At 38.1% G+C, this 12,024-nt stretch overlaps 1 annotated feature.

Moving 5' to 3' along the window:
* Positions 2,129-3,328: an enhancer, noted in NCBI's record as "BRD4-independent group 4 enhancer chr6:133308297-133309496 (GRCh37/hg19 assembly coordinates)". NCBI's record gives its function as "activates an origin of replication core promoter dependent on BRD2, P300/CBP, MED14 and CDK7 cofactors, and independent of BRD4, by STARR-seq in HCT116 cells {active_cell/tissue: HCT116}" and the evidence as "EXISTENCE:reporter gene assay evidence [ECO:0000049][PMID:35650434]".

Below are 12,024 nucleotides of genomic sequence, written 5' to 3'. Positions count from 1 at the left end.
ACATGGTATAAGGGACATTTTAAAAAAATAAATGAACTAAATGTAGGTTGGGAACAGATAATACAGATGAACACATTTTGAAGATCTTTGATATCCAACTTAGATCCTATTTCCATATCTTACAAAACTAAACAAATAATTTTAACACCTACAGAGGTTAGGTATCTGCTTCACCTAGGGGAGAGAGGGCAGATAGCCCTGAGTAACCATGGTTTGAATTCTCTGACATGGCTAGGGAGTCTAAGTGTGGAATCCAATGAAAGCTGTTTTATAGGTTGACCAGTGGCCTGCAGCTGTATAGTGGCCTGATTAAAAAAAAAAAAAAAATGTGCCCCAAAATAGAAATAAGTTTGGACAGGCTGTTTTACTAATTAGAACCATAAAATATGAAGAGATTCAGGTTGTAGGAAGCAGAAGCAAAGCTCAGAGGAAGCCTATAGACATTTAATAGAAAGAGTAAAAGCCATGAAGAAACCGTAGTCAAAACTTTTGGATTAGCCAAAACTTTTGGATTAGCCAAAGTTTTAAGGTAAAATAAAGCTAAGAGGAAAAGAAAAGATCTAGGGACAAAGACAAGTAGCAAGAAGTATTTAAAAGGAAATTCAACAAATATAAGGGGACATCAAAAAATTTGTGGGAAAATGGAATTAAAAGGTAAAAATAAAAACTATAAACTTTGTTTCTCAACATAAACTTTATCAAGTTCAACATATTTTGTAATCAATGATACCAGCCATTTAGTCCATTCCTAAAGGACTGAGGGTCTTGGGAATTTAACCATGTCAATGCAGTCTTTTTTACATTATTAACTGAAAAAAAAAATGAGTGCCTTTTACAACTTTTTAAAGATTAGGAAACAAAAAGAAGTCAAAAGGGATCAAATCAGAACGATGAGTTGTATGCCTAATAATTTTTCATTGAAACTCTCACAAAATTGTCCGTTTTTGAGGAGAGGAATAAGCAGGAGCATTGTCATGGTGGAGAAGGATTCTGGTGAAGATTTCCTGAATGTTTTTCAAATAAAGCTTTGGCTAACTTTCTCATAATAAGCAGATATCATCCTTCTTTGGCCCTCCAGAAAGCCAACAGGCAAAATGGCTTGAGCATCCCAAAGAACTCTTGCCATGACCTTTGCTCTTGACTGGCTCACTTTTGCAGTGACTGGACCACGTCCACCTCTTGGTAGCCATTGCTCTGATTGTGCTTTGTCTTCAGAATTGTACTGGTAAAACCATGTTTCATTTCCTGTTACAATACTTTGAAGAAATGCTCAAGGATCTTGATGCTACTTGTTTAAAAATTCCATTGAAATTTTAACCAATTGAGATGTCTACAGTGTTGGCTATTGTTTCTGCTGTTAATCATCAGTCCTCTTTAGAGCATGAACAAGATAAATTTTTTTCCTCACAAACTGATGTGGACGGTCTGCCACTGCAGGCTTTGTCATTAACATTGTCTCACACCTTCTTAAAATGAATTATACATTTGTATACTTCTGATTTCCTTGGGGCACTGTTCCCATAAATTTTTCATTAAGCACCAGTGATTTCACCATTTGCCCAACCAAGTTTCACCATAAATTTGATGTTTGTTCTTGCTCTAGTTTTAGCAGAATTCACGTTGCTCTATTACGGGTTCTTTTCAAACCAACATCTTATCCTTCTTAGTGACTCAAACTAGATCCTGTTTATACATGTTATAACAAGTTAGTACAAGTTTATTTGGGTGCAAGAGTTTTTGAAATCTATGCATAGTATTTTCAGAATACCCATTTTGCATGAAATTTATGAAGATCCATCATATTTGAGTACTTACCATGTTCCAGGCATGTTTTTGGATTCTGCAGATAAAGCAGCAAAAAAAACATTAAAAAAAAAATAAAAACCTGCCCTCATGGAAAGACTTTACGTTAGTGTGAAAAGAACAATAGAATAAATTAGGAAATATATAGCATATCAGAAGGGGTAAGTTTCATGGAGAAAAGTAAAGCAGGAAAGAGAAATTATGTGTGTTTCATGGAGAGGACTATTTTAAAATAGGGTAAAGAAAAGTGTAACTAAAATGACAATATCTGCAAAGACCTGAAGGATGCGACAGAACCAACACTGCAAATATCTGAGAGAACAGTGTGCCAGGCCAGGAGAACAGGCCCAGGGTAGCCATGTAAGAGTCTGCCTTGAGAAAGGGGCACCTTTTCCTGAGTCTCACAAAGACAACCTTTAGGCTAATGGAAGTCCTGGAAGCAGCCACTACAAAAGCTCTGAGTTAGGAGCACATTTGGCATGTTCAGGGAACACCAGAGAAGACAAGAAAGGCTGGGATGGATTAAGCCAAGAAGAGTGTAGGAGGAAGAGAAGTCAGATGTATTAGTGGCCATGAAAATACACCCCTCAGATCTCTGCCTTCCAGGAGGTAATTGACTGATGGCCCCAGTTGCTACATTCTAGAATCCATTACTGTGTTTTTGCCAAGGCCAATATTCCCACAGGGTGCTCCCCAGCCAATAACTGGGTGCAGCAGAAATACTAAGGCAGGCCAATCCTTGAGCAATTTTGGACTTCACTTATGGCTGACTTCAGCTACAGGACTCCCTGATGGTTGGGCACTGCAATCTAAGAGGCTCCCACCCAACCCTGCTTCCTCTCTTCTTTCCTTCACCCGAGGACTGACTTGCATTACAGTCTTGATGGCTCTCCCACCTTCATCTGGCTCCCTTCCTGTTTTTCCTCACAGGTGTGTGTGAAGGTGCACTTTAAACAGATTGATCACTCCCAGATACACAGTGTCATTGGTTGGCTGATGCAATGTATCACCAATTCCCATGATCTGCCCCATCAATTAATTAACTAACCTATGACACTAGCATCTGCTGGAGTCAAGTCCAAGTTCACTCCCCTGTTTTGTACAGTGCACATGTAAGTACTTGTTACTCACTTTGGGGATCCAGTCCGTTTAGCCAAGTCAGTGTCCAAGCTTCCTTCCCCCGCCATCTTTTTCTAGTCCCCATTTACCTTGCATCCCATCCCAGCTAGACTCTATGGTTGGGCTTCTGGGATGCAACACAAATTCACCCCAGTTACAATGGCAACACAATAAACTTTCTTGTTCTTGTGGTCATAAGTTTAGTAGAAAATCCTCTCGTAGTAGTCAGATTTTCTACTTAAAATAGTAATCCCAGCTACTCAGGAGGCTGAGGCAGGAGAAACGCTTGAACCAGGAGGCAGAGGTTGCAGTGAGCTGAGATTGTGCCACTGCACTCCCGCCTGGGCAACTGAGCAAGATTCCGTCTCAAAAAAATAAAAATAAAAATATAAAGTAGTATTCCCAGAGGAGAAATTCACTTCCACTAGAAAAACTCACAAGAGGTCGATGTTTATTAGAGGTCCCTCATGGCCTGTGGGTTTTTCTTGGGAAGTTGGTCAGCTCTCCTTTCATCGGGACAGCCACAAAATTGGCAGAATTATGATGATATTGTAAGTCTATGTGAGTTAGACATAAATAAGCCATTTAATTTCATCTCTTGTAACTTTGGTCTTTCTCCATGTGCTCCAGTCACAGGGCATCAACTGTGCCTCTCCAATCAGGCTGCTCCTCTCACCTGGACAGTGAAATGGACAGAAGGTAGTAACTCTTAGTGGCTTTGTTCCTTTGCATTATTCTTCTACTCTAGTTCCTTTTCACACATGGAAAGAAATGAGAAGCTGCTATGTTCATAAAACCTCAGAAGTTTCAGGCAAATATGATTTTGAATAAAATATGTCAACATATTTTTATATTTTTAAAAAGTTAAACTCTCCTCCTTTTTTCTTAATATAGTTGACATCTCCAAAGAAATGATAGCAGAGACATAGCTTGGAAATAAAAGTCCCGGGGGGGGTCCATTTCAAGATGGCCAAATAGGAACAGCTCCACTCAGCAGCTCCCAGCGTGATCAATGCAGAAGATGGGTGATTTCTGCATTTCCAACTGAGGTACCTGGTTCATCTCACTGGGACTGGTTGGACAGTGGGTGCAGCCCACAGAGGGCAAGCTGAAGCAGGGCGGAGCACTGCCTCACCCGGGAAGTGCAAGGGGTTGGGGGATTTCTCTTTCCTAGCCAAGGGAAGCCATGACAGGCTGTACCTGGAAAAACAGGGCACTCCCAACCAAATACTGAACTTTTCCAATGGTCTTAGCAAACAGCACACCAGGAGATTATATCCTGCACATGGCTTGGCAAGTCCCATGCCCACGGAGCCTTGCTCCCTGCTAGTGCAGCAGTCTGAGATCGATCTGCGAGGCAGCAGCCTGGCATGGGGAGGGGCATCCGCCATTGCTGAGCAGGGGTTCCAATCCTAGTCTCTGATAAAACTGACTTTAAAACAACAAAGATCAAAAGAGACAAAGAAGGCCATTATATAATGGTAAAGGGATGAATTCAACAATCAGTAATAACAAACTTCTTTGAGCTAAAGGAGGATTTTGAACTCATTGCAAAGAAGCTAAAAACCTTGAAAAAAGATAAGACGAATGGCTAATCAGAATAAACAGCGTAGAGAAGATATTAAGTGACCTGATGGAGCTGAAAACCATGGCATGAGAACTACGTGATGCATGCACAAGCTTCAACAGCCGATTCGATCAAGTGGAAGAAAGGGTATCAGTGATTGAAGATCAAATGAATGAAATGAAGTGAGAAGAGAAGTTTAGAGAAAAAAGTAAAAAGAAACAAACAAAGCCTCCAAGAAATATGGGACTACGTGAAAAGACCAAATCTACTTCTGATTGGTGTACCTGAAAGTGACGGGGAGAATGGAACCAAGTTGGAAAACACTCTTCAGGATATTATCCATGAGAACTTCCCCAACCTAGTGAGGCAGTCCAACATTCAAATTCAGGAAATACAGAGAATGCCACAAAGATACTCCTCGAGAAGAGCAACTCCAAGACACATAATTGTCAGATTCACCAAAGTTGAAATGAAGGAAAAAATATTAAGGGCAGCCAGAGAGAAAGGTCGGGCTACCCACAAAGGGAAGCCCATCAGACTAACAGCAGATCACTTGGCAGAAACTCTACAAGCCAGAAGGGAGTGGGGGTCATATTCAACATTTTTAAAGAAAAGAATTTTTAACCCAGAATTTCATATCCGGCCAAACTAAGCTTCATAAGTGAAGGAGAAATAAAATCCTTTACAGACAAACAAATGCTGAGAGATTTTGTCATCACCAAGCCTGCCTTACAAGAGCTGCTGAAGGAAGCATTAAACATGGAAAGGAACAACCAGTACCAGCCACTGCAAAAACATACCAAATTGTAAAGACCATCAAGGCTAGGAAGAAACTGCACCAACTAATGAGCAAAATAACCAGCTAACACCATAATGACAGGATTAAATTCACACGTAACAATATTAACCTTAAATGTAAATGGGAAAAATGCTCCAATTAAATGACAGAGACTGACAAATTGGATAAAGAGTCAAGACCCATCAGTGTGCTGTATTCAGGAAACCCATCTCACATGCAGAGACACACATAGGCTCAAAATAAAGGGATGGAGGAAGATCTACCAAGCAAATGGAAAACAAAAAAAAGCAAGGGTTGCAATCCTAGTCTCTGATAAAACAGACTTTAAACCAACAAAGATCAAAAGAGACAAAGAAGGCCATTACATAATGGCAAAGGGATCAACGCAACAAGAAGAGCTAACTGTCCTAAATATATATGCACCCAATACAGGAGCACCCAGATTCATAAAGCAAGTCCTTAGAGACCTACAAAGAGACTTAGACTCCCACACAATAATAATGGGAGGCTTTAACACCCCACTGTCATCATTAGACAGTTCAACGAGACAGAAAGTTAACAAGGATATCCAGGAACTGAACTCAGCTCTGCAGCAAGCAGACCTAATAGACATCTACAGAACTCTCCACCCCAAATCAACAGAATATACATTCTTCTCAGCACCACATCGCACTTATTCCAAGATTGACCACATAGTTGGAAGTAAAGCACTCCTCAGCAAATGTAAAAGAATAGAAATCACAACAAACTGTCTCTCAGACCACAGCACAATCAAATTATAACTCAGAATTAAGAAACTCACTCAAAACTGCACAACTACATGGAAACGGAACAACCTGCTCCTGAATGACTACTGTGTAAATAACAAAATGAAGGCAGAATTAAAGATCTTTGAAACCAATGACAAAAAAGACACAACGTACCAGAATGTCTGGGACACATTTAAAGCAGGGTGTAGCAGGAAATTTATAGCACTAAATGACGACAAAAGAAAGCAGGAAAGATCTAAAATCGACACCCTAACATCACAATTAAAACAACTAGAGAAGCAAGAGCAAACACATTCAAACCCTAGCAGAAAGCAGGAAATAACTAAGATCAGAGCAGAACTGAAGGAGATAGAGACACAAAAAAACCCTTCAAAAAATCAATGAATCCAGGAGCTGGTTTTTTGAAAAGATCAACAAAATTGATCGACTGCTAGCAAGACTAGACTAATAAAGAAGAAAAGGGAGAATAATTAAATAGATGCAATAAAAAATGATAAAGGGGATATCACCACCAATCCCACAGAAATACAAACTACCGTCAGAGAATACTATAAACTCCTCTATGCAAATAAACTAGAAAATCTAGAGCAATGGATGAATTCCTGGACACATACACCCTCCCAAGATAAGCCAGGAAGATGTTGAATCTCTGAATAGACCAATAACAGGCTCTGAAATTGAGGCAATAATTAATAACCTACCAATCAAAAGAAGTCCAGAACCAGACTGATTCACAGCCAAATTCTACCAGAGGTAGAAAGAGGAGCTGGTATCATTCCTTCTGGAACTATTCCAATCAATAGAAAGAGAGAGAATCCTCCCTAACTCATTTTATGAGGCCAGCATCATCCTCATACCATAGTCTGGTAGAGACACACCAAAAAAAGAGAATTTTAGACCAATATCCCTGACGAACATCGATGCAAAAATCCTCAATAAAATACTGGCAAACCGAATCCAGCAGCACATCAAAAAGCTTATCCACCACGATCAAGTCGGCTTCATCCCTGGGATCCAAGGCTGGTTCAACATACGCAAATCAATAAACATAATCCATCACATAAACAGAACCAAAGACAAAAACCACATGATTATCAAATATAGATGCAGAAAAGGCCTTCAGCAAAATTCAACAGCCCTTCATGTTAAAAACTCTCGATAAACTAGGTTATTGATGGAACATATCTCAAAATAATAAGAGCTATTTATGACAAACCCACAGCCAACATCATACTGAAAGGGGAAAAAATGGAAGCATTCCCTTTGAAAACTAGCCCTCTCTCACCACTCCTATTCAACATAGTGTTGGAAGTTCTGGAAATCAGGCAAGAGAAAGAAATAAAAGGTATTCAATTAGGAAAAGAGGAGGTCAAATTGTCCCTCTTTGCAGATGACATGATTGTATATTTAGAAAACCCCATAGTCTCAGCCCAAAATCTCCTTAAGCTGATAAGCAACTTCAGCAAAGTCTCAGGATACAAAATCAATGTGCAAAAATTGCAAGCATTCCTATAGACCAATAACAGACAAACAGAGAGCCAAATCATGAGTGAACTCTCATTCACAATTGCTGCAAAGAGAATAAAATACCTAGGAATCCAACTTATAGGGGATGTGAAGGACCTCTTCAAGGAGAACTACAAACCACTGCTCAATGAAATAAAAGAGGATACAAACAAATGGAAGAACATTCCATGCTCATGGAGAGGAAGAATCAATATTGTGAAAATGGCCATACTGCCCAAGATGATTTATACATTCAATGCCATCCCCATCAAGCTACCAATGACTTCCTTCACAGAACTGGAAAAAAACTACTTTAAAGTTCATATGGAACCAAAAAAGAGCCCACATTGCCAAGACAATCCTAAGCTAAAAGAACAAAGCTGGAGGCATCACCCTACCTGACTTCAAACTATACTACAAGGTTACAGTAACCAAAACAGCATGGTACTGTTACCAAAACAGAGATATGGACCAATAGAACAGAACAGAGGCCTCAGAAATAAGACCACACATCTACAACCATCTGATATTTGACAAACCATCTGAGATTTGACAAAAACAAGAAATGGGGAAAGGATTTCCTATTTAATAAATGGTGCTGGGAAAACTGGCTAACCACATGTAGAAAGCTGAAACTTTATCCCTTCCTTACACGTTACACAAAAATTAATTCAAGATGGATTAAAGACTTAAATGTTAAACACAAAACCATAAAAACCCTAGAAGAAAACCTAAGCAATACCATTCAGGACACAGGCATGGGCAAGGACTTCATGACTAAAATAACAAAAGCAATGGCAACAAAAGCCAAAATTGACAAATGGGATCTAATTAAACTAAAGAGCTTCTGCAAAGCAAAAGAAACTACCATCAGAGTGAACAGGCAACCTACAGAATGGGAGAACATTTTTGCAATCTACCCACCTGACAAGGGGCTAATATCCAGAATCTACAAAGAACTTAAATTTACAAGAAAAAAACCAACAATCCCATCAAAAAGTGGGCAAAGGATATGAAGAGACACTTCTCAAAAGAACACATTTATGCAGCCAACATGAAAAATACTCATCATCACTGGTCATCAGAGAAATGCAAATCAAAACCACAATGAGGTACCATCTCACACCAGTTAGAATGGTGATCATTAGAAAGTCAGGAAACAACAGATGCTGGAGGGGATGTGGAGAAATCGGAATGCTTTTACACCGTTGGTGGGAGTGTAAACTAGTTCAACCATTGTGGAAGACAGTGTAGTGATTCCTCAGGGATCTAGAACAAGAAATACCATTTGACCCAGTGATCCCATTACTGGGTATATACCCAAAGGATTATAAATCATGTTACTATAAAGACACATGCACACATAAGTTTATTGTGGCACTATGCACAATATCAAAGACTTGGAAAAAACCCAAATGTCCATCAATGATAGACTGGATTAAGAAAATGTGGCACATATACACCATGGAATACTATGCAGCCGTAAGAAAGATGAGTTCATGTCCTTTGCAGGGACGTGGATGAAGGTGGAAACCATCATTCTGAGCAAACTATCACAAGGACAGAAAACCAAACACTGCATGTTCTCACTCATAGGTGGGAATTGAACAATGAGAACACATGGACACAGGGCAGGGAACATCACACACCGGGGCCTGTCGTGGGGTGGGGGGCTGGGAGAGGGATAGCATTAGGAGAAATACCTAATGTAAATGACGAGTTAATGGGTGCAGCACACCAACATAGCACATGTATACCTATGTAACAAACCTGCACGTTGTGCACATGTACCCTAGAACTTAAAGTATAATTAAAAATAAAAAAGAAGAAAAGAAAAGAAAACGTTTCAGAAAAAAAAAAAGAAAGAAAACAAAAGTCCCAATGTAAACCAAGTTTAGAAAAAAATGAGATGGGAAAATACTCAAGTTGGCTCACCTTTGGTAAACAGCAAACTGTAATTTTGGAAGCGAGAAAAATATCTCACAGAAAACTCATTTTAAAATTTGTGATGACTCTTTCTCTCCTAGAAAAGCAAACACATTCACAACTATTTTAGTGTAAGCAAATTCAAAACTTACAAATTCCTCCCAATTTATAAAAGTTTTTAAAGTTAGAAAGAAAATTATCAGTCCCAATAGAATTGGCCAAAATAAAAATATATAGAAAGATTTGGAGGGAGTCAGGAAACCAAAACAATTCCAATTTTACCAACGTGCATCATTAAAGCCCAACCCTGCTGCCCTTGTTAGTGACACTGTAGGTGGACACTGGGGTAGAAGACAAAGGTTCTTGTCAATTCTTGGCATCATGGTACGGCGACCACAGGGAGTGAGAACTGTAGTGAGGAAAAACAATTAGCCTTGTTCTTGGTGTCCTCAATTTGTAGGATCAAGATCAAATGTTGGAAGCTACAATGAGATGGATTTCACACTGGTAAAAGTAATATTTTCAGATGTTCAGAGGTTTCCAAACAGAGTAAGCTTCCTGGTTCAGCAGTGGGATTTTCATCTTTGGTTTGTCAGAGGCCAAGCAACTATTATACTTCACAGATGGTTGTAAAAAAGTATTTCCCAAGCTTTAGTCATTTAAAGACTTATATCATGAGTTTCTATTTATGTCTTGATTTTTTTAATTAAAATGATACCTTCTTTGCTTAAATACATTAATGTTGAAAGCAGTAATATCTTTCATATTAAAGGTTTGATGTCTTGATATTATCCTTTTTTCCAAAATTCTTTAAAATAAGCACATAATGTAAAACATTCACTCATGATCCATCTAAAGTCACCTCATGTACCACCAGTGCTACACATTTCCACTTTAGGAAACCTGTTATAAAAGACACTTAAGCAGAGAGGGGCCTTTAATATCCTTTTCCCTCTGAGATCTATGATTCTAAATAGTTGATAGTTGCTGAAGTGTGACTTTTTTCTTTTGTGCTGCTCAGCATAGAGGAATCATTACAGTCACATAGAAACTTCAGCATCAATAGACTTTTATCATTTCAAAAAAGTGCTTTCACTTTTATTATCTTATTTTACCTACTGAGTTCTGCACAGATATACTAGGGATGAGAAAATAAAAGCACATAAATTTGCATTAAGCCTAACATCACACAACTAGTTCATGGATAAACTAGGTCTACAGGTCAACTCTTACTCTGATGCTCTTTTTATTAAAATAAATTCATCTTTAGTGAAGAGAATTAGTTAAACCATTTGCTGTTTTATACAGCCTTTGATAAAAATATTTTTCTAAATTAGTTTTCCTTTATTTCCCCAAATGGGAAAACCATGGCTCAAATAGCAAAGAAATCTCTGAAAAGAAAAAAGGTTTTCTTGAATACTTCATCTTTACACATTCATATGAAAACAGAAAGAATAGAAAATGTTATTTCACTTAAAATAATTATCATGGTAATAAAATTCAAATGTTTGAAGGAGGAATTTGGGTAATGCCACATTTTTTTCAAATAATTGTTCTTGAAATTGTTTTGAATGTCCTTCTGATATTCCAATAAATCAATTAAGCAACTTGTATTTTTTGAAGACCACATTTATGCTCAGCACTAGGATAGATTCTGTGGAAGTTTAGGTAAATGTATAAATCAGTGTGTCAGCAGCAAGCTTATAATCAAGTTAATAAAACAAATCTAATACTAATGGAAGAAATAGCAAATAGTTTATTTGATGGAAAAACCATAACTCTAGTGGATCTTTTATACCTTTCAATAAGACACTTATCCTCTCTGAGTTCTTTCGTTTGTAAAATAAGAGGGCTGACTTTGTTCTCCTCAATTTCTGAAATTCTATGTCTTAGGGTGGATAAAATTAAATAAAATAAGAAAATCACTAAAGAAATGGGTAAAATGCAAAAGAGATCAATTTGATAGTCATTAAATACATTTTGCAAAGCACTGCTTGAAGTGATATCAATATTTAAAATGTAATTCAACTATAAGGATAAGTTAAAATTGTAGTGGATTAGTTAACAAAAAATTCTTAAGCAGCTATTCATACCATGCACTGTTGTCATAGCTGCTGGTGATTCAGGCAAGACTGCCTGTCTATAATGGAGCTTATAGTCTAGGATTGGGGTGGGAAGCACCAAAGACTAAACATTAGTTCAGGTATAGGTAAGTGCTACTAAGAAAGCATGCACAGTAACTTGATAGAGTCTAGCTAGGGCAAGTGCAGAAGGAATTGCTATAGATCATTGTTATGGAGCCCTTCTAAAAAGGTGACTTCTGAGTAGAAAGCTCCTCAAATGATTAGAAGAGGTCATGCAAAGATTTTGAGAAAAAGAGTTTTACAAGGAGCCAAGAACAAAGGCCAAATGTCTAAGCAAGGAGCAACCTAAGTATTTCTTAAAATAAAATAGAGCAAAAACTATAGGAACAGCCAAGAAGGTTGGAGGATGCTGAAGTAAAAATGTTGATAACACCTTGTGGTCCATGGCCA

Source organism: Homo sapiens, chromosome 6 (genome assembly GCF_000001405.40).
Source record: "Homo sapiens chromosome 6, GRCh38.p14 Primary Assembly".
NCBI lineage: Eukaryota > Metazoa > Chordata > Mammalia > Primates > Hominidae > Homo > Homo sapiens.
This window is presented reverse-complemented; position numbering and strand designations above follow the sequence as displayed.